This window comes from Homo sapiens, chromosome 18 (genome assembly GCF_000001405.40).
Source record: "Homo sapiens chromosome 18, GRCh38.p14 Primary Assembly".
NCBI lineage: Eukaryota > Metazoa > Chordata > Mammalia > Primates > Hominidae > Homo > Homo sapiens.
Genome location: NC_000018.10, coordinates 29194987 through 29219249, shown reverse-complemented (window position 1 = coordinate 29219249; position 24263 = coordinate 29194987). Strand labels below are relative to the sequence as shown.

At 35.6% G+C, this 24263-nt stretch overlaps 1 long non-coding RNA gene across 2 annotated transcripts in view; it reads left to right on the top strand.

The window, feature by feature from the left end:
* LOC105372044 (uncharacterized) overlaps positions 1 to 24263 on the top strand; it is a 74947-nt gene that overhangs the window by 36092 nt on the left and 14592 nt on the right. The window contains exon 4 of one of the 2 annotated variants that reach the window (XR_935328.2): positions 4220 to 4299. The exons of the other annotated variant lie outside the window; for it this stretch is intronic. This is a non-coding gene — a long non-coding RNA (uncharacterized LOC105372044). Of the gene's footprint in view, positions 1 to 4219; positions 4300 to 24263 lie in introns of those variants that run through there. 2 annotated transcript variants of the gene reach the window in all.

The window sequence follows — 24263 nt, the reverse complement described above, 5'->3', positions numbered from 1 at the left end:
AGCATGAAGGGCTGTTGAATTTTGTCAAAGGCCTTTTCTGCATCTATTGAGATAATCATGTGGTTTTTGTCTTTGGTTCTGTTTATATGCTGGATTACGTTTATTGATTTGCATATGTTGAACCAGCCTTGCATCCCAGGGATGAAGCCCACTTGATCATGGTGGATAAGATTTTTGATGTGCTGCTGGATTCGGAGACAGGGTTTCGCTCTTGCTGCTGGGCTGGAGTGTAAAGGCGGGATCTTGACTCACCTCAACCTCCACCTCCCAGGTTCAAGCGACTCTCCTGTCTCAGCCTCCCGAGTAGCTAGGATTACAGGCATGCACCACCAAGCCCAGCTAATTTTGTAGTTTTAGTAGAGATGGGGTTTCTCCATGTTGGTCAGGCTGTTCTCGAACTCCCGACCTCAGGTGATCTTCCTGGCTTTGCCTCCCAAAGTGCTGGGATTACAGGCATGAGCCACCACGTCTAGCCAATATATGACTTTCTAAGTAGAAAATTATATGTCATGCCAAAGAGCTTTGATCTTATGACACGATGATGTCAAAACAAGTTTACACAATTGGGTTTTTTTAGAATGATATTTGTGGTACCCTAACCATTGAAATAATTACAAAGCTTTCTGCCACATTCCCTATGCCTCCCTAGAATCAACAAAGTTTACTCTGACTAATGATAATATTGATCTCACTAAAAGTATATTTTAGAAGCAGGTTTTTTTGTCCTTCTTTATGAGAATTGAGTCCCCGAATGATTCAGCAATGAAGATAAATACAAACGTCCTGACTATTCTGGCCTTTCTGGCCTAGCACCCACTCACACTCCAGGGGCAGATGACTTGGGATTCTTTCCAGCTTTACTCTTCTTAGTCTTATTTTGGAATATTCTTTCAATGACCATGTTCTTCCTGAAAATCCCACCAATTCTGCTCTGCATTCTGTCATCCTGTAGAGGTAGTAAATTTCCTTTTTTTTTCTATACAGGGCCATAACCTAAATATTTTAGGTTTTGTAGGTTCATCGGACTCAAATGATTTATTATACTTGATTTCTTTGGCTTGATTCCTATGTGCTGATTTCATTCTTGAGACTATTTTCTGGATTCCATTATATTGTGCTCACAAAAAACTCTCCTCTTGCTATTCCTGTATTCAGCAGTATGGCTAACTTTGCTCCCTAAACTGTGAAGCTAATCCTAATTTCCATGTGTTATTGACAACAGTTAATGTTGCACGAGCTCAGATAACTGACTATGACAGCCAGAAGTATTATAAAGGTGATGGGAATTGATAGATAATAATATTATCTAATACTCACAAGTGTTTACCATGTGTCAGACACTAATTAAGTGTTTACATATAAAAACTCATTTAATCCTCACAATAATGCTATGAGTTATTATCCCTTATAAGAGAAGAAGGAACTGAGACATTGATTAAGTAGCTTGCCCAAGACCAAACAGCTGGTAAGAGGTGGAGGCAGCATACAAAGTCGAGCAGTCCAGCTTTAGAACCAATGTTCTTAACTACTACACTCTCCTGAGAGGTGCTGCCAGACTGAGAAAATGTTCTGGGAGGGAGGGATCGGCACCAGTAGCTAATTAGATGCAATGAGAATGGAAGAAGAAACTGAGAACATATTGCAAATAATTTGACTTGGGGAGTAGTTGGGGAATACAGGAGGATATTATATTTGTTGACTATGCTAATTTTTCAATTATTTTATAAACAGTTTGTAAGAATTTTAAAGTAGATTTCTCATAGATGGAAGTAATTACTTGGCCTTTGTTAGAGAACTCCTATCCAGAAATACAGTTTTAAAATTATTTTAGTCTATCAGTACTTTTCAAAACATATGTACATATGAACCATCCAGGGACCTTACTGATATGCAGATTATGATTCAATAGGTCAGAGACAAGGCCTGCATTTTTAACAAGCTCCCAGGCAGGGCTGGATTCACAGATGTGTGACTTGTAAGTCTGCAAAAGAAACCCACATTTGAAATCATGCTCTGCTGTCAGCATTTTAATATTCTTAGTTATTTTTAAACAAGGGGCTCTGCATTTTCATTTTGTATTAGGTCACACAATTTATGTAGCTTTTCCTGCTCTCAGGTGGTCTATGGACTATACTTTGAGTTTGAAAGGATCTAGTACAGAGGTTTGCAAATTGTAGTTCACTGGGCAAATTCTGCCAGTTGCCTGTTTTTATAATTAACATTTTACTGGAAAACAGCCACACTCACTTTTTCACATATCATCTATGATGGTTTTTGTGCTCTAACATGAGTAGAGTAGCTGTGACTAACAAATATGATATGGCTCTCAAACCTGAAAATATTTACTATCTGGTACTTTATAGAAAAGGTTTGCTAATCCCTGCTCTAGTAGATGATATTAGAAACCATAGGAACAATAACAGCATATTCAGCAAATAGTTTCCCCAATACTTAGTATACTATTGCCTTACATGTGTAAGTATGTATTTGTAATAGGATACTATTGCATTACATTTGTTAAGTATGTATTCTTAAAAACAAAGCATTTTTAACCTACATTAATTCAATTCCCCTTATAACACCCCTTTGAAGTAGATATCATATTCTTAATTGCATGTGTTGAAAACTTAAATTCAGAGAACTTAACGTAATTGTTCGGGATAATGCGACAGTATGCTAAAGAGACCATGCTATTTCCACTTTTTCACATATGTACACATCCATATATGTGTCTTCTCTATTTCCCTCTAATGGTCTTCTCAGAGATTTTTTTTCCAAGCAGGGGCTGTAACTACTTCTAAACTTTTCCTACAATGACACCACTTTTATACAGTAATTCAGTGGTTTTCAAACTGCATTCCACATAGCACTAGGGGCTCCCAAAGCTGCTGCAGAGTCCTCTGAAAATGGACAACTTACAGATAATCAGCAAACAGGTCCAGAATACTTGACTGACTTTCCATATTTGACCTCTGTTACATTTAATGCAAATAAATATTTTCATGCAAAATTGTCTTGAATATTTGTCCACTTCAAATCTCATGTTAAAATTTGATCCCTAATTTGGAGTTAGGGCCTAATGGGAGGTCATGGGGCAGTCCCCTCATGCATAGATGAATGCCTTCCCTGGAGAGTAAGTTCTCACTCTATTAGTTTCCATGAGAACTGGTTGTTAAAAAGAGTCTGGAACCCCCACCTTGCTTCCTCTCTCACCACATAATCTCAGCACACACTGGCTCCCCTTTACCTTCCACCATGAATAGAAGCAGCCTGAGGCCCCCACCCAGATTCCCAATCTTGAACCTTTGAGTCAGCAGAATTGTGAGCCAAATAGATAGTTTTTCTTTATAAATTACCCATCCTCAGGCATGCCTTTATAGCAACACAAAACAGACTCAAAACAGACTAAGATATTATGTCTTCTTTTTTTTTTTTTTTTTTTTTTTGCTTAAACCACTCAAATTCCTTGGAAACATCTGCTTTTCTGCCCTCTCCCTCACCTCAAACAATGTTACACAGCACTGTCTTACAAATTAGTACATCATTATTTTTAACAAAGTTGATTATTGAATCATGTTGCTTAGCATGACTACAGCAAAGCATTCTGCAAATTGGGTCTATTTTGTCTTCCTTTTGTATATAAAGGAAGGATTGTTTAGGTAGGAGTAACAGTGAACATTGATTAGACATTATTGTTTAGGGAGGAGTAACAGTGAACATTGATTAGACATTATATCCTATTATAAAACAACAATAATTGAGACAAGGGTTGAAATTTTCACAGATATATGACAAAAAGGAGTATTTAAGAAATGCTGTTGAAATTCTCAAAAAATAAAAATATATGAACATTACATGGTATTAGCACTTTTAGCTAAAAATAGTATAAAGACCAAATATAACTGTAAAAAGGTAGCATGTCTGGTTTCAGTGAAGACAGTAGAGTAATTTTCACTTTTGTTCATAAGAAACAAATAGCCAAGAAAAAACAAATTTTATTAGTATTTCAAGGCTATATTGATATTACAGATTGAAATGTGTCTTCTGTCTTTTTACCCCCAAATGTAGGTTTATCAGAAATTATTTTAATAATTTTCTCAAATAATTTTCCACAAATCTATTGCCTACTGAAACTAGCATTCAGCCAGTAAATTCATGAAGTTTATTATCTCTTGTTCACCCTCTTTTTGTTTTCTTTCTCATGAATTTCAATGCATAGAACAATTTCAGCCTAGAAATACTGTTCACCTCACACACTGAAGCATTCTTTACCAGATACCCCACCTATCCTCAATAAACAGAAATGCAGTTGTTAAAAGTGAGTAAATTTCAAAGACATGTATTTGATGGAAAGTGGGTTAAGGTCAAATGACCTTGAATAAATGAAATTTAAAGTTGAAATCAAAATGAAAAATGTCTAATTTTGCTACTTTTTAGTATGTATATGTATATTTGTGTATGGTAAGTAAAGTGTCACTCTTTCTTTATATCTTACTTCCATTTGGGGAATTTTGGATACCTAAAAGATGATATACAGAAAAAATATATATAATTTATTAAACAGAGCACCCTTAAAGGTAATAATCTTTTAAAAAGTTTATAATTTGGATTACGTAAAAATCAGGTTTCTGTTGATTAGAGTCCAAAAAAATCCATAGATTTGTTTATATAGCTAATTATATAATGAACAAAAGGTTCATGTTCAGAATACAGTTAAAAACCCTATAAATAAAATTTAAGAAAAGGTAATTCAAAAGAAAAATTGGCAGGAGACTTGAACAGGGCTCTCAAATGTGAGAGTATCCAAATGGATAATAAATATAGTAACTGCTTCATCAGTCATTAGGAAATGACTAATTAAAATCTCAATGGGAATTCTACCAGCAGAATAAAAATCTTTTAAAAAGTAGAATTACACCTTACCAAGAGGTGTAAGCAATGATTTGGGGCAGCAAGAACTCTCAATCCCTACTGGTCAAAGTCAAAGTTTAATGACCACTCTAGAAAATTATTTGGCATTATTTATTAAAATTATAAATATGGACTGATTATATAATTACGAGTTACAAAGAAAACATAATGGTATGTACTCAGAGATATGTATGGCAGTATTATCTGTAATTGACAAAATTAGAAATAATCAAACTGCCCATAGACTAAATACATAAATTATGGTATATTTATTTAATAACATTTTAAAAGATTAAAAATGTATTAATTGCTATTAAATAGAATAATATGGAAAAATGATGAGCAAAAACAATAGGAAAATAGAAGCACTCTTAGAGGGTTATTGCATGGATATAAAGAATAAAGACAGTAAAAAATCTTAACATAGTGTTAATGTCATGATAGTGATCACCTCACAAAAGAAACTAGGTAATAATTGTGAGGGTCATAAGAATGGCTTTTGAGATTCTGGTAATGTTCTTTCTGGACCTTGAGGTGGTTACTTGGGTTTTCATTTTGTAATAAAACATCAAGCTTTATATTTATGTTTTATGCACTTCTGTAGAAGTTATATTTCTTTTTTACAAAAGAGAGAAAGTTGCAGTGATAAGATATCATCTACATATTAAAAAATACTTTTCCAATTAATTTCTTCCAGATAAATGCAAAATTGTGATACCTACAATCTTATCACGGTTCAGCAGAGGTGGTTATTTTTCTTCCCACTCTAGGAATATATAATTGTCTAACATCAATTTGATTGAGCTAGTAATGTTACAAATAGCTTGCAAACAATTATTGATATAGATAATTAAAACAATGGTAGAATGGCTTTTACTATTCACAAAACAGATATTTATGCTGATAAAGTTATACATTAAATAATTCCAACTTAAAAGTAGGGAGACATCACTTGAGTTAGAATTAATATGTCTTTCTTCAAATGATTAAGAGATAAATTTAAACTTATTTAGAGAAGAGGAGAGAGTTTCCTTTTACAAAATCTTGAAAGAATACTGGAAACTAAGCAGATATATTTAAAACTGTAAAAGAGAAGCAAAGATGAATATTCCCTTTACCCAAATAACTTTTTATAAATCCAAAAAGGAAAGTCCAAAAAGGCTTAACTGTGATGCAATTACACTGTTAAATGAAATAGTTTAAAGTGGATTTCAAACAGTGGCTTTCAGTATATTTAGCAACCAGGCAAGAGGGTATTTCATTTGTCCTTTGCTATGATTTGGATATAATTTTCCCCTGCTAAAACTCATGTTAAAATCTGATCCCCAATGTGGCAGTGTTGGGAGGTGGGGACTGGTGGGAGGTGTTTTGGTCATGAAGGTGGATTCTTCATAAATAGACTAATGCCATCTCAAGGGAGTAAGTTTTGCTGCTGAAGAATATATCCATTCTCTTGAGAATGGGTTGTTATAAAGCCAGGTTGCCTCTCAGGTTTTGCCTCTTTGCACCTGTCCACTCTCCTTTAACATTCCGCTGTGTTATAATGCAGCCTGAAAGCCCTCACCAGAAGCCTGCGCCATACAACATAAAACTTCCAAGCCTGCAGAACTGTGAGCAAAATAAACCTCTTTTTGTTTTTTTTTTAAATTACCCAGCCTCAGGTATTCATTTATAGCAACAAAAAATGGACTAAGACATCCTCCACATAAATTGAGAGTCACATGAAGAATAGGATTAATTCCTAGCAATGTGTTTTTCAGAGTAATTAACATGTTGGAAGTTCAAGAACTGCAAAAGGTATGTCAACAAAAGAAAAGCAGAAATGGTATGGCCAAATCAAGTAACTGTCGCAAGATGAGAAAATTGATATAGTTAGCAAATGGCAGGATCTAAGAAAACAAAATGATAATTTAATTATTACTTTAAAGAAATGAAACTATGTTTATGTAGGCCAGTCAAACACCAAAGTGTACTATAAGAGCTAATAAAGCAATCTAAGCAATTCCTACAAAGACCACAGGAAATAATGTTATGAGAAATGGATAGTAAATGCATGTAGGACAAAGTGGGGAATATGAAGCATGGTTTGGAGCTATTGCTATCAAAATAGAAACATAATAAAATATACTTTGAACTATAATTTTCAGGAAAGAAAGATCTGGTCTATTGCCTAATCTTATGTAAGTATTTTTAGAGTCTCTTATTTTCCCTGAGAGAAAAAAATAAATACAAACCAGTGGGTTTTCACAGCAAGCCCCAATCTATGGTCAAAATGGGAGTCAATCAGAGAGATTTTAAGTGAATCTTAAGTGACAGCTGGGAGGCAACAAAATAAAATTTCTCAACAGGGGTGAGATTATTTTTCTTATGATCCTTGAAAGTACCTAAACAAAGATATTGCTTATTTGAAATTGTGAAATCAGTACGCTTTAAGTTTTTAGAGATACTAGTTTGACTCTACTTCCTAAAATTTCAATTACATAAGTCCAAAAATAAGCACAAAAAATAACGAGGTGGAGGGGAATGGAAATGACTCTTTGAGGGTGTCATGTGTGCAAGTAACTATGCTTATTGTAGGTATGTTATGTGTTTTCCACAAGTTCTTAGTATTTAACTACACATTACATGCGTGCAAATGAACTGAGGCTCACAAAGATCTTATAAACTGCTGCGGGTCACTTGATGTTAAATGCTGAAGCAAAAAGAAGTTGAAGACATCTGTCTGATATTCCTTTTACTGCATACTGCTTCATTCTTCCCACCTCAAGCCCAAAGAATGAGCAAACCTAATATACTTCGCATGGTTAACAATTATGCCAGTCATTTATGAGGTCTAAAATATTCTCTCTCAGGCTCTAACATTTTCTGAAATTCCTACTGTTCTCATCTGGATTGATCTCAGTTATAGTGCAAACATTTTTTAGATGAAATAGCTATCACAGTAATTTCTCAGGCACTCAGCGTCTGAGATATTCAGGTAGCCTAAGGGAATAGCTAAGAAAAAGACCTGGAGGGCACTTCCATCTATTTCTGTTGTTTTCTGGAGGTAGTTATTCAGTCTCTGCAACTATAGCTTTTATAAAGTGTAAACATTATCAAGAACATGCACCTCTTAATAGTGGCTCTGAAAGTAAAAACTTGATAATTTTATTTTTTTATTTTTTTTTGAGACGGAGTCTAGCTCTGTCACCCAGGCTGGAGTGCAATGGTGCCATCTTGGCTCACTGCAAGCTCCGCCTCCCGGGTTCACAACATTCTCCTGCCTCAGCCTCCCGAGTAGCTGGGACTACAGGCGCCCACCACCATGCCCGGCTAATTTTTTTGTATTTTTAGTACAGACAGGGTTTCACCGTGTTAGCCAGGATGGTCTCGATCTCCTGACCTTGTGATCCACCCGCCTCGGCCTCCCAAAGTGCTGGGATTACAGGCGTGAGCCACCGGGCCCAGCTGATAAAACATTTTTGAAAAACACTGTGATTTGATATGTTAAGCCTATACTACTATTATTTAGGAGTGGATTTCAACTTGTTATTATTATAGTGGTAAAAATGGGGTGATCCCTTTCTCCAGATCATAAAGGTCATAGTTGATGCACCTATACCAAAGAGGTTAACACATTTATTTGGTCATAGTTTCACATAATGCAGAAACCTTCAGAATGAAAGCCCAAAGTTACAGGCAAAACTGTCTATTTTTATGCATAAGTTCAATGAAGAAGTAACAGCCATGTAGAATTGTAATTGAACAAAAAGATATGATCTAATGCTAATAGACTGAGGCCTATCTGTTCATATTCTTCTTGGCTTCTCTGTGGAGGCTTTCTTCCTCCCAAGTATGGGGCAGCACCTTTTTTGGAATGGGGGCCTTATGACCTACAATCAAACGAGGTAAGTCAGTAATTTCTTCATGGTCAATTCTTACACAGAAAAATAAGGGAAGGTTAGAGTAATATTTTATGTTTTATGACTGGCTTCGGGCAAAAGATATTCTGGTTTCTATGACCTGCTTTGGGAAAGAGGAATTCTAGTTTCTACTGCTAACCTTGTGGGAAAATGAGAGGTGAGATATAGGAGGGCAGAGAAGGTCAGTGAGAAACTTTGCTTCTGAGGCTTCCACTTTGGAGTATTATCTTTAAGTCCCAACATTCCTCAGTCTAAAATCTCCCAAGAAGTTTCACAGTTCAGAAATTGAGTAGATGGAATGTCTCCTAAGCTACTGAACCAATCTCAGTCCCAACAAGAGGCCATTCTAGTTAAACAGCTAACCATTATGTCTCATTTTAGGCAGTAGTGTTGCAGATGGGCTTCCACCATAGTCAAGTCTTTGTATCATTTGAAGAATCAGAGACATTTTTATGGAAATAAAAGAAAAATATTGATGGTTAGAATAAACTATAAACTCAATGTTTTAGTCCAGAGGGCAGCCAGTTAAGATTTTCAGATCTTTGGTGCTCAAAGTGTTTTCAGATGAGTGACAGTAGGCAGTGGCAATGTGACAGACTTTTCCTGGTTGCAGTTTGCATCAGGTGTCTCAGTGAAACTTCTGAGTAGTCCGTCCAGCAAAAGACACAAATACTTTTTATATATAAGCTGCTGTGCTGACTTCTCTGAAGTCTATATCAAATGGCATAATTTCATCTTGCAGAGCAAGATGAAAAGCAGTTTTAATCACAGTGATTCCAAGCCAGAAGGATCAGAGAAAATTGGAAATGTTAGTTTGGAGACTCACAGCCAGATATTGGATCTAGTCCACATTGTAGGGAGATAATAAACCCTCAACAACATGTAGGTAGAGTCTTATACAAGTGCTTAATAGTTTTTCTCTCCACTCACCCTCATTTTGATAAAGATAATCACAGTAAGGCCAATTTGTGTATAAAATAAGTTTAGTTTTATTAATTTGGCCTGACTGCAGCAAGAATAATTACTGATCACATAAGCTCTTTTTAAGTTGGCATTGATGGAACATTTTTACAAAGGCTTTTGCATTAGACTTTTAAAAACCCTCTTGAGGCCAAGAAGCCAAGGTAAGATTCACCATCAGACTGTGCCTGTAACACCTTTACGAACTGGGTAAATTCCTCTCTTCTCCAGGTTTCCAAAATATCCTGAGATTTCTGAGTTTGTCAGAAAGTGAAATTATTTATTGCAAGGCTAGGAACCCTATAAGGGGACTGTGTAGACAAGGTACCAGGCCAATTTTTCCAAGTTCTTTTATTGGCTTTACAAACTCAACCTTAGTTCCTCAAAGTTATCTGGTCATACTGGAAGATACAAAATTTCAGGCAAAGCCTTGGTAATACAACCAGTGTTACCAGTTGTGCTGTTACAAGAACAGATTATTATTGAACCTACACAAATAACTGTATTGCCATAAAATAAGAATACTCTGAATAGTTTCCAAATTTTGAAGGGATCAAGCAGGGTGAAATAAGAAAATGTTTCAATTCTGTTTGTAAAAATTAACATCACTAAATTACTGTAAGCTATAGATTAACTTAAAATTAAAAAAAAGTTTTATCGAATCTGGAAAACAAATCGTAAAAAGAATCAGCAATGTTTCAAACAAAAAGAAGTAGAAAATATCATAATACTTCATTGGTTCAGCCCTGGGCAATTAATTTTTGTTCTGCTTGAAATTGGGTGAGAAATTTTATGATTCCAGTTTTTTCCTTAGAGTTTTTCAACTCTTACCTAGTCCAAAGATATGGCCTCAAAGTTGTCAGAAACCTGTGTTTGTTAGAGTTCTTTCTATGCCTTCCCTGAATGTCCTTGAAGACATACTTTAGGATTATAAATGTTTGCAAAGAGTTTTCAGAAGAGGCATCAGAAGAAAACACTTAACTATGGACAACGAAAACTAAAACAGTTAAAGAGGCCAGGCAAGGTGGGTAGCTCACGTCTGTAATCCCAGTACTTTGGGAGGCAGAGGCAGGTAGATTGCTTGAGCTTCAGAGTTTGAGACCAGCCTGGCCAACATGGTGAAACTCCATCTTTATAACAAAATACAAAAACTAGCCAGGTATGGTAGTGTGCATCTGTGGTCTCAGCTACTTGGGAAGCTGAGGTGGGAGGATCCCTTGAGCCCAGTGAATGGAGCTTGCAGTGAGCTGTGATCACACCACTGCACTCCAGCCTCGGTGATAGAGTGAGACTCCATCCCAAAATAAAATAATAAAATAAAAAATATATATAATGGTTAAAGATCTGATTGGAGTTCATTATAATAATGATGACATTTGCGTTTTCTTTTGTGGCAGAAAACACTTTCATATAATAACCAAACTTATAACTGGTAACATGTTAGGTTTCTAGGAATTTTATACAAATTTGGAACACATATGTCAGTAACATAACCACAGAAATATAACTCCAAGAAAGTTGAACATATTTCTTAATTGACAGTGCTTCCTAGATAATTTTAACATAACAAATAAGCTTAATTAGTTTATCATCTTTCTCTCTTGGACTTCCAGGGGCCCCTCTAAAATGTCCAAAAGATGGTTTGAGGTCAAAAGGACTCAATTTTGATTTTGGATAGTTTGTCAAAAAAAAAAAAGTCAAAAGTTTTAAAAATACTTGATCAAAATAAAATCACAGGTCTCTGGGAAATAATATTCATCATACCAGTGTGATAATTAAAATACTTTTAAAGTAAACACAAGAAGCTACATAGTTATAGAAACACATTAACCTTTTAATATTTAGTTTTCCTAGGTAATCAAAGACCCAATAAAGAAGACAAGAAGCACAGGAAGCTATTCTGATAACATAGACTCTCTCTGTCTCTCTCTCTCTCTTTTTCTCTGTCTCGCAGTTCAATCAAAGTATTTTTTAAACAATTATTGTCTCTTATCATTATTACATAAAAACCTTGTTTAAAAGATAAAACCACATTCTAGTTTTTTGTCAGTGTACTTTTGATATTAAGGTGCATTTAAAAATCTTAATAATAAATTTGTGTAAGTTTAATCAGTTTGATCAAAAAAATCAGTTTGATTAGATTCATTATTTATAACTCTTTTACAACTTTTTTATCCATTCAGTTTTACGTTATTTCTTCTTTCATTCCTTCACTCCTAAATACCCTTTAAATAATCTCTAGACAAAGTTCTAGTTCTTTTTCTTAACAAAAGAAAAATTCTAGTACTTTAATTTCCTTACCAAAAACACCTATCTTTTTGTATACTTCGCATGTATGTTCTTTTTCTTATATGTAGTACTTTAATTACACATATTAATTTGAATTTCTAACTTTTAGTAACCTTAATTTCCATGAAAATCTAATAAATAAGTAATTTTTAACTTTTATATCGCATTTATAGACTAAAAGCCATTTCATAATTTTTAGAAAGATACATTTCTCAATTTTTTGTTTACTAACAGATCCAGATATATGTAGCTATTTTATACTGTATAAAAATAAGATGTTGAAGTATGTATACTTAGTATGTATACTTAAACTTATGCTTAATAATTAATGTTTCAGTACTTACTTGGCTCAGATAATTTATTATTATTTATCATTTAACAAACCATGAATTTAAGACTTCAAATTACTAAAAAAAATTTGAAACTTTGATAAATGTATATATAAATGTTATTTTATTTACATTTATCTCATTTACTTATTTAATAATTATATTTAAATTGCTCATGGAAAACAAAGCAAGTCATTTTTTAAAGTTTATTTTTCTGTTTTTAAGTAAAACCAAGCTTACCAAGTATCAGTCAGCCTTGTTTTAACCAAATCTTTTGAGACACTGGACACAGGATGCAACCATACTGGGCTTGGCCCTGTCCTGCAGCTGGTAGCCCAAGTGCTACAGACACATACATGTTCCCAGCCTTCACCTTGGCTACCTGCTTAGATCCCAGAATACAGAAGTTTAAAACCAAACACAGAAGCTCACAGCAAGATGTGTGGAAGGTTTTGGGAGAGCCCAATAGCTGACTCTTATAGTGTTAGCTCACCAACAGATTAGACAAGTATCAAAAATATCACAGGAACAAAAATTGTTAAAAGTTAAACTTTTTTTCCCTCTTCTTAAACATCTAGGAAGCAACAAGTTTATTTGACTAAAACTCTTGCGAAAAAAAGTATGTTTGCATTACAATCAATGCTGACAATTTTAAAAACATTTCTATTTTTATCTTACCAAAAATTATAAACTAACTTTATTTACCAAAGATTATCTAAGATCACATGAACTAAAAGACATTTAAGTTAATTGTTATATTTTTCCTTTTGATAAAACACTTAAGTGCTTATTATTTATTTTCTTTAAGTTAATTAAATGTAAAGAATATATTTTGGTACTAAAACTGCAGGAAAAAAATACCACACATTCTCAATACACACATATACAGACATTCACAAATACACAGAAAGAAGCAGGTTTCTCAGCTTTTTAAAGGAAGAAATTCAACTTTTATTTTCGATTCAGGTGATACACATGCAGGATGGTTACATGGCTACATTGCTTGATGCTGAGGTTTGCAATATGAACTACCCTGTCATCTAGATACTGTACATAATATCCAACGGTTAGTTTTTCAACCCTTATGCCCCTCCCTTTTTCCTTCCTCTATTGCTCTCCAGTGTCTATTGTTGCCATCTTCATGTCCATGAGTATCCAATGTCTAGCTCACACTTATAAGTGAGAACATAAGATATTTGGTTTTCTGTTCCTGCACTAGTTTAGTTAGTTTAATGGCCTCAAGCTGCATTCATATTGCTGCAAAGGACAGGATTTCATTCTCTTTTATTGCTGTGTAGGATTCTATGGTGTATATGTGCCACATTTTCTTTATCCAGTCCACCGCTGATGAGCACCTAGGTTGATTCTATGTCTTTGCTATTGTGAATAGTGCTGCAATGAACATGTGAGTCATCATATGTGATGGACATATGTCTTTTTGGTAGAATAATTTATTTGTGTTGGGATATATTCTCAGTAATGAGATTGCTGGTTGAATGCTAATTGTTTTAAGTTCTTTGAGAAATCTCCAAACTGCTTTCTACAGTTACTGATCTAATTGGCATTCACACCAGCACTGTATAAGCATTCCCTTTTCTCCACAGTCTCACCAGCATCTGTTTTTTTTTTTATGACTTTTTAATAATAGCCATTCTGACTGGCATGAGATAGCATCTCATTGTGTTTTTGATTTGCATTTCTCTGATGATTAGTGATGTTGAGCATTTTTTCATATGTTTGTTGGTATGTCTTCTTTTGAGCAGTGTCTGTTCATATCCTTTGCCCACTTCTTAATGTGGTTATTTGTGTTCTGCTTGTTGAACTGTTTAAGTTCCTTATAGATTCTAGATATTAGACCTTTGTCAGATGTATAGCTTGTGAGTATTTTCTCCCACTCTGTATGTTGCCTGTTTACCTTTTGATCGTTTATTTTGCTATGCAGAAGCCCTTTAATTAGGTCCTATGACAATTTTTGTTTTTGTTGCAATTGTTCTTGAAGACTTAGTCATAAATTCTTTCTCAAGGCTATTGTCCAGAATGATGTTTCCTAGGTTTATTTCTAGGATGCTTATAATTTGAGGACTTTCATTTAAGTCTTTAATCAACCTTGAGTTACTTTTTGTATATGGTGAAAAGTAGGGCTTCAGTTTCATCCTTCTATTCTACAACTTTTGTTAAGGTTTTTCATTTGTCAGTTTTTAAAGAGTTTCCCTTTCCCTTCAGATTATATGTCTTTAACTACCAGTTCCATTGCCCTAGGTAATAGTTAGGCAACCCTAAGTTTGGACTTCTAAGGAGATGACTCTTAGGAGGAACAAAAGAGAAAATTTATATCTCAAGGTACAGAGAAGGAATTAATGTTTGTTTTTATTAACAAAAGAGAAAATTTATATCTCAAGGTACAGAGAAGGAATGAATGTTTGTTTTTATTTGATTTTTGCTTGTTTGATTGTTTTTTCCTCAAGAAAGACCTTTTGGCATATAGCTATTATCAGAGGTCAATTTTGTAGGGACTGTGGGCTAAATTTTAAGTCTGAATGTGTCCAAAGCTTATCTGGATGGACAAAGTATCCCTTTCTGCTAAAACTGAATTTATTGCATTTTTCTCTAATTTGGTCTTGAGATGTCTCTCTGGGGAGTCGCTATAAAATCTATCCATGCCTTGACAGGTAGATCAAGATAGCCACTCTCTATGAGAGCCTTGGCTCGGAAGGGAATTAGGTTCACATGTGTCAGTTAGATGAGACATAGAGAAAAATTTAAAAATTGATGCCCAGGCAACATAAAATCATAGGAATTTACTATTTATTACTTTGTAAAATGGGATTTTACAAAGTAATAGACAAGCCTGGGAGAAAATCAAAAGCTTGTTTAAAATCATCATTTGAATGCCAGAAAGTCATATTTTGGAGGCCTGGAGGCCAACTTAGTTAGATCAGAAACTTTTCAATTTAGCCTCAATTTCTTAACCAGATTATTGAGATTAGGGTGGAGCCCATTAATGAATAGGGCAAACAAAGCATCTGTAACTTCCAGGACTAATACTTACATATTCAGAAGACAGGAGTAGTTAGAAGATGGAGCACCTAGATTTCCAGAAATCCAAAATCTCATTTTTATGTTTGAATCCTGGATTTTCCAGAGAGGAAGCAAAAGCTAAGAAGGGAAATGCCATGAGGCTGGGCCGTGCAGCACTCCCACAGGGTATCCAGCAGTAAGAATGTTCCCTCAAGGCCGGTGAGTGACAGTGCCAACTAGCCCATTCCGTGACTAACTCACTACTTGATGGGAGACTTGTCCATTGGTTTCAAGGGCTTTGAGACCTTCCAATTGCCAAAAATAATCCCATTATCAACCCATGGCCCCATCTCTAAGATCCTCCCCCTATCAATGAAGCCAGTGACTTTTCTTGTAGGAAATTACCTTTTATTGTCAGTTTCTGTCTGGCCCCTGCAGTAATAACCATTTATTGCAGTCACTGTCAGTTACCTTAAAAATTAGAGCTTCTGTCAGTGACTAATCAGTTTCCACCCACCCGAAGTTCAAGTGCCCTTTCAAAGCATACAGTAACCATTGGTGCCCCACAAAATCAAAGGGATCTCACTGTAAAAGACAGTAGAGTTTCATACCTGAGGGTAACCCACCCACAGCTCTTGGGGATCCATGAGGAAGACAGAGGACCACCAAAAAGAGAGTCACTGGTGCCTTTTTTGTGTTCCTCAAGGGGTTTTAGGGTCACTAGAAGTCTCCCTTAGATCCTATCTTTTGGTTGTCAGCACTCTGATATTCCCATGGGAGAACCAGGATCCAACAGGCAGAAGAGGAGACTATAAAAAAAAAAAAGGGACAGTCTGAATATCAGCTAGTTAAGCCAACTTCTGACCATAGGACTCTTTAAAGAAAAAGTCCTTTCAGTCCTTTCAAATCCCTTATCAGATTTTAGCCAGGACGAAAACATCAAATATTTCTGACTTCTTCTTATTTATTTATTTATTTTTCTTTTAAACCAATCTTACCTAACATATGACTCAGAACCAAAATCAATAAACCTTTTATGACTTAACCAAGGATGCATAAAGCTTCTCCAAGGAGATATAAACATGCAGTCTTCACAAGATCCAGAGTCATCCCCAAAGACAGCAAAAACGGAAAAGATACATAGATAACTTATTTAGAGCTGGTGGCTGTTGGCTCACTAACCACAAATGGGGCCAACCCACATTTCTATTCAGCTGCATTCTTTTTATGGGGTCCACAGGCTTTTGGTTTATCATCTGTACACACCAACGTGATAACCCATGTGCCCCAACAGGAGGCAAGCCAAGCCGAGTTCTCAGAACACAAAATGAGATAAACAGAAAAATAATAGCTGTCAATGAGAGGGAAAAGGATCATTAATAATTGGGGGCCCATAGCCAAATTTACAAAAGAGTCATAATTCAAACAAATGATTTTCTCCTGCTAAGCTGAGTTTGGAAGGGGAAGGATATGAAGGTAATTTTTACCTTCCATTCTTAACTGGGTACTATATGTAGAGATTCAGGGGAGATGACATTGGTAAAAATTATTACTTTTCTTTGTTATCTTTTTGTCAGTTATCCCAGGACCTCATCTGCAGGCTCTGGGGCAAGTCAGGTGTCCCAGCCATCCCATTCTTGTTACCAAAACTATATAGGTGGAGAGGGGTGAGCCTTTTTCCCCACCGTAAGAATCACAGCCACCACGCTTATAACAAAGACAGATTAACAAGAGAAAAGCGTAATAGATGTATGTGATCATAGTTTTACATGACACAGAAAACTTCAGAATAAGACCCAAAGATACGGGGAAAGCCATCCATTTTCACGCACTGACTCAATGAAGAATGAAAGCCATGCAGCACCGTTTAACAAAAACAATATGAACTAATGTTAGTAGAGTAAGTGAGGAAACTCAGTGTGTTAGTCCATCCTTGCATTACTATAAAGAAATACCTGAGACTGGGTAATTTATAAAGAAAAGATGTTTAATTGGCTTATGGTTCCACAGGCTGTACAGGGAACATAATGCTGGTATCTGTTTGGCTTCTGGGGAGGTCTCAGGAAACTTACGAACATGGCCAAAGGTGAACAGGGAGCAGACACATCTAACATGGCAGAAACAGGAGTAAGAGAGAGTGAGAGAGGGGCTAAATACTTCTAAACAAACAGACCTCATGAGAACTCACTCACTATCATGAGAACACCACCAAGAAGATGGGAATAAAGCACTCCGAAGAAACACCTCCATGATCCAATCACCTCCCAGAGGCCCCACCTCCAAAATTGGGAATTATAATTCAACATGAGATTTGGACAAAGACACAGATCCTAACCATATCACTTAGTAAGGCCTATCCAGATTCTTCTTGGCCTCTCTGTGCAGCATTTGCTTATTCTGCGTATGGGGCAGGACGTTTGCTGAAAGGAGGGGACCTTAGGGCCTTCAATCAAACCAACTAGGTCAGAGAATTTCTTTATAGCCAGTTCTTACACAGATAAATGGGAGAAAGTGATGAGTATATTTTATGTTTTGTGGCTGGCTTTGGGGAAAAGGGTTCTGTTTTCTATGACCTGCTTTGGGGAAGAGGAATTCTAGTTTCTATGGCTAGCCTTGGGGGAGAATGATGGATGAAAGAGAGGAGGGAGAAGTTCAGAGAGAAACTTTTTTTCTGTGGCTATTTCTGAGGCCTTCACATTAGGGTATTGCATTCTGAGTGGCAACATTATGCATATTAGTTTACTTAACAAATATGCATTAAGATCCTACTCTATGTCAGGCATTCTGGCATGTTTGAGGGCCATGTGAAGGAAAATGACTTTGTCTCTGGAGTCTGAACTTAAGAATCTTAAATCGTTCAAGCAGACAGACTAATCTCTGCATGCCACTCTTCCTGCCCTTGTTTCAATTCCATAATCATGCCATGTTCCCTAAAGCCACATTCCCTAATGAACATTATATGCCATTCACCCCCTCCTGCTTCTCCCCACCAAAGACCTACTCATCCTTAAAATATCACTTCCTAAGAGAAGCCTTTCTTTATCTGCTAGTCTAGGTCATGAGAATAAATAAATATTTCTTTATTACTTGAATGATTGATTGAAATAACAAATGAAAGATGCTGAAGGAGAATTCAAAGTTTTTTGGTGGTGAAGACTTTGAATTGGGGAATCTCTTTACATCCATTGGGAACCTCATATGTCCAGATGTGAATGTACAAGTTCTTTGTTTTTCTGCAAGTTTATTTAATCAACAGAAAATAGTCTCACTGACTTTAACTGTCGATTTCTAAGTCATTCTTAAATATTTTATTAAAATATAAATATTTAAGGTTCACCATGATAGAGTTACAGACACACTACCTCAAAATATGGCACTTGGCATTTGGAAAAAACAGAAGTAGAAAACTCACTCTCCTCTTCCCCTTGCTCTTTTCCTGAAGAGGTGTATAAAACCTAGCAGACCCTAGCAGACTTTTCTCTGAAGTAGGCCATAAGATTCTCGTTCCAGGAGGGTCCCTTCTATGTCCAGAGAAAAGGACTATCACACAGAAAAACAGAGAAGAATCTGAATAGGCCTTGCTAAGTTCCCCCCAAGTCATTGCTATTAGGTCATAACCTGTTAAGCTCCAATCATACTGCAACACAACTGTCCAAAAAAATGTACAGTTTTTCCTATTTCTTTGGGTCTTCATTTCTGAAGGCTCTTGTGTTACATAAAATTTATATTAAATAAATTTCTATGCTTTTCTCTTATTAATCTGTCTTTTCTTATAGGAGTATCAGCCATGAGCCTAGCAATGGGCAAATAAAGAAATCTTTTCTCCCTTACAACCATTAGAAATAGTGATTTTAAAATTTGCCTCCTGTCATCTCCCTATGAAGCCTTCCTTGACTCCTAAATCTTCTGTCATTGAAAATAAAACTCATGATCTAAGAAATCTTTTTGTCCAGGTCAGTTCTGTATCACTAGTGCTTAGAACAATACTCAGAAGAGTTGATGAATAAATGGTAAAGAGCATGAATACTCTTTTTATTTCCCCATATTACTTATATCTGCTCAGAGTCATTTACAATTTTGTCTTGCTTGTAAGTGTGGGTTCTTTGAGGACATAGACAGCACGTTCCATTCATTTTCATATCCTGAGTAATCAAAAATATATATGCATCATCCATGTTGGTAAAGTGCACACTCCTACTTGCCTATTAGGGAAGAACACATACAATACCTGGCATGTAGAGAATGGATTGGAGGACTTGAAGATTGGAGTTTCTCAAAGCAGTAGAGATGTAATTACAACAGTACATGAAAAAAATATGGATGTGTGAAATATATTAGCAGTAAAAAGACGAATGTGAGAAGGAAATAGTTTGTGATTCCTTTGGTGCTTGAATGTAGATAAAAGAAGAAGAATGTATTAATAAATATTTAAACATATTTACAAATTTCTAAAATAGGCAACATGGGTATGTTGGGGCAAAGGAAACTTCCCCTTCGCCCTTAGAAGTTTCACTGAAAAATAATCTCACAATAAGGCAGATTAAATTAGAGAAAAGACTAAAAATTTCTTACTACTGTGCACGGGGAGAATCACAGAGTGATTGTCCAATATTCCAATGGGGTACAGATGCTTATATACTTCTTAGAGGAAAGAGTGATAGAGAAGTGTGGATGATGTTCAGGAGATGGTAGATGAATTTAAGGGCAATTCAATTGACTTGCAAAACGTACAATGATCTGGCACAAAGGCTGTTGAGCACACAGAACATCAGACAATGGTTTGAGACTAAAGTCTGTTCAGGTTTGTTGACAGACTTTAGTCTTCCCGTGATATGAGTTCAGTTAATGAAAACCCAGGGAAGAGACTGGAGGTAATTGTTTTCTTCTTTGGTAGGTCCGGGCTTGCAGATAATGGAACTTCAAAGTACAACTGTATTTTGTGCTTAGGAAGAGATTGTGGGGTAGGGGGTGAAACAAAGAGACCTTGAGGCCTCTTCTTTAGTTCAGTATATAAAAAGGATTGTAATTTTGGGTTATCAATTGCTGAGCCCCAACAAGTACCATTAACTAAAAAAGGAGACACAAGAGAAAATTCTAGTTTATAGCAGAAAATACAGAAAACAAAAATTGAATTTTAAACAGAACTGGGATATATAGCTCAGGTGTCCCCACACCTTGGGCCACGCACTGGTACTGGTACATGGCCTGTTAGGAACAGACCCACACAGCAGTAGGTGTGTGGCAGGCAGGTAAGAGAAGCTTCATCAGTATTTTTTGTTTGTTTGTTTGTTTAATTTTTTATTTCCATAGGTTATTGGGTAACAGGTGGTGTTTGGTTACATGAGTAAGTTGTTCAATGTTGATTTGTGAGATTTTGGTATACCCATCACCCGAGCATTATACACTGCACCCAATTTGTAGTTTTTTTTATCCCTCACCTCCTCCCACCCTTTCCCCCTGAGTCCCCAAAGTGCATTGTGTCATTCTTATGCCTTTGCATCCTCATAGCTTAGCTCCCACTTATGAGTGAGAACATAATGATGTTTGGTATTCCATTCCTGAGTTACTTCACTTACAATAATAGTCTCCAATCTCATTCAGGTTGCTGCGAATGCCACTAATTCATTCCTTTTTATGGCTGAGTAGTATTTCATTGTATTTATGTGTACATATATATATGTATATATATGTACACACACACACACACACACACACACACCCCAGTTTTTTTATCCACTTGTTGATTGATGGGCATTTGGGTTGGTTCCACATTTTTGCAATTGTGAATTGTGCTATGATAAACATGTGTGTGCAAGTATCTTTTTTGTATAATGACTTCTTTTCATTTGGGTAGATAACCAGTAGTGAAATTGCTGGATCAAATGGTAGTTCTACTTTTAGTTCTTTAAGGAATCTCCACACTGTTTTCCATAGTGGTTGTACTAGTTTACATTCCCACCAGCAGTGCAGAAGTGTTCCCTGTTCACCGCATCCATGTCAGCATCTATTATTTTTTGATGTTTTGATTATGGCCATTCTTGCAGGAGTAAGGTGATATTGCATTGTGGTTTTGATTTGCGTTTCCCTGATCATTAGTAATGTTGAGCATTTTTTCGTATGTTTGTTGGCCATTTGTATATCTTCTTTGGAGAATTGTCTATTCATGTTCTTAGCCTACTTTTTGATAGGATTGTTTGTTTTTTTTCTTGCTAATTTGTTTGAGTTCATTGTAGATTCTGGATATTAGTCCTTTGTCAGATGTATAGATTCTGAAGATTTTCTTCAACTCTGTGGGTTTTCTGTTTGCTCTGCTGATTGTTCCTTTTGCTGTGCAAAAGCTCTGGATCTTCATCTCTCATCTTATACATAAATTACCTCAATATGGACCAAGGTCTTAAATCTAAGCCCTGAAACTATAAAAATTCTAGAAGATAAAATTGAAAAGCCTCTTCTAGGTATTGGCTTAGGCAAGGATTTCATTTATTCAACCCAAAAGCAAATGCTTCATTGATATTTACAGCCACTCCCCATCACTCACGTTACCACCTGAGCTCCATCTCCTGTCAGATCAGTGGCAGCATTAGATTCCTGTAGGAGCATGAACCCTATTGTGAACTGTGCGTGTGAGGGATCTAGGTTGTGTGCTCCTTATGAGAATTTAATGCCTGATGATTTGTCACTGTCTCCCATCACCCCCATGTGGGACCATCTAGTTGCAGAAAAACAAGCTCAGGGCTCCCTCTGATTCTACATTATGGTGAATTGTATAATTATTTCATTATATATATATATATATATATATATATATACACACACACACACACATACACACACATACATATATATATATATATATCTCAATGTAATAAAGTACGTAATAAATGTAATGTGCTTGAATCATCCCAAAACCATCCCCTTCCCCCAGTTTATGAAAAAATTGTCTTCCACGAAACTGGTCCCTTGTGATAAAATGGTTGGAGATTGCTTGGTGTAGGGAATTATATAAGTAGGTGATTGGATAAATGGGGTTTAAGCGCATTTCTCGGGAAAGAAGACTGAGTTTCATATACGGTTTGGGGACATGATGGTCGATGCTACAGCACAGCATACAGAGTTGGAAGGCTGAAGTCCAAATGCTGGAAAATATTTAAATGGAGGGAATGTGATTGCAGAGTAATCAGTATAGAATTGTATACACAGTGAAGTACATAACAAATAGAGAAAATGGAACAGTTAAAATAATTGTAAAAAATTAGTTTCGAGGAAGGAAGGATTGTCATCAAAGTCAAAGAGGAAACCAATTGAATAGTTGCTATTATGTTGGTGCAAAAGTAATTGCGGTTTTTGCCATTGAAAGTAATGGCAAAAACCGTAATTACTTTTGTACCAATCTAATAGATTTGACAGTTAGATAGTTTTGATGACTGAAAGCTTAGAGAGAAGGGAGAAAATTTTAATTCAGGTAAGCATAGCCATGTTTGTAAATAGTTCAAGAGCAGGTTAGATTCTGTACATACAAAAGTAAATATAATACCAGAAGCATTTGGTGTCAGAAAACATGGGCTAAAATATGTGTGGAAAGAATGTAGAGAAAGCAATCTGGAATAGTAATTTGCTGTTTATCCACTGAAAGATAGACTGTTTTGCTCATATTTGAGATTCAAAAAATTAAATTTTGGGGTTTGAACGTTGTTTATTTCTTACAAGATATTACATATTTTAAAATGGTTGTTTCTGACTAAATTATTTGTAAAATAAAAAAATACTTTTAAAATTAGGTTTACAACGTGCTTGAGGATGGGTTTTTTTTTTTTTTTTTTTTCCTTGAGAGGGAGTTTTGCTCTTGTTGCCTAGGCTGGAGTGCAATGGCATGATCTCGGCTCACTGCAACCTCTCCTTCCCAGGTTCAAGCGATTCTCCTGCCTTAGCCTCCCAAGTAGCTGGGATTACATGTACCCACCACCACACCAGGTTAATTTTTTTATTTTTAGTAGAAACGGGGTTTCACCATGTCGGCCAGGCTGGTCTCGAACTCCTGACCTCAAGTGATTCATGTGTGTTTTAAGATTGTGTACAGTCTACATAACAGAGACTTAAAATATCATTGAGAATTTGTAAACTACATATATACATGGAAACTACTATAGGTATAAGAGTACAGTATATATGAAAATGTATATGAGAATTTTAAAAGTGTCATTGGGAGTAAAGAAGTATACATGCAAGGCGACAAGGCTGATCAGATATTTTGTGAGGTTTTCTGAAGTGAGAAAGTCTGTTTCTAAACAGTGTCATATACACTTGACAAAATGGTGTCTTCGATATTATATAGGCAAATGGCAAAGTGTCATTCCTAATTCTATTCCCATGAGCATGTTAAGTCCTGACATAATTAGAAAATAAATCATATTTATGAATATCATACATTCCTACTGTTAACCAGAATTTTTATTGGTAAATATGTGACTACAGTTCTGAAAAATAATAACAGCCTTAAAATTTAAAAATGAAATGCATTAGGAATGTTAACTATTAGCTAACATGTTTCTTCAAAAGTGGAAATATTCCAAGGAATCTAATTAGAGATTAACAAATACATGTATATATATATAATATGTATATATATATATCTTTTAATACAACAACCAACAAGTTGAATTTTCTAAGACCAAATCCCCTTTGCTTTTTTTGTTTTGAAAACTAACCCAATACAGAAGAGATTGTACTACAATAGCTATTCCAACTTAACATTCTGCACATCTTATGACTTAGACTTTCACACCTAAGTGAACACTCAGCAGATATGTGTTCTTATGATCACCAAAAGACATGCAAGAATGTTAATAGCAGAGCT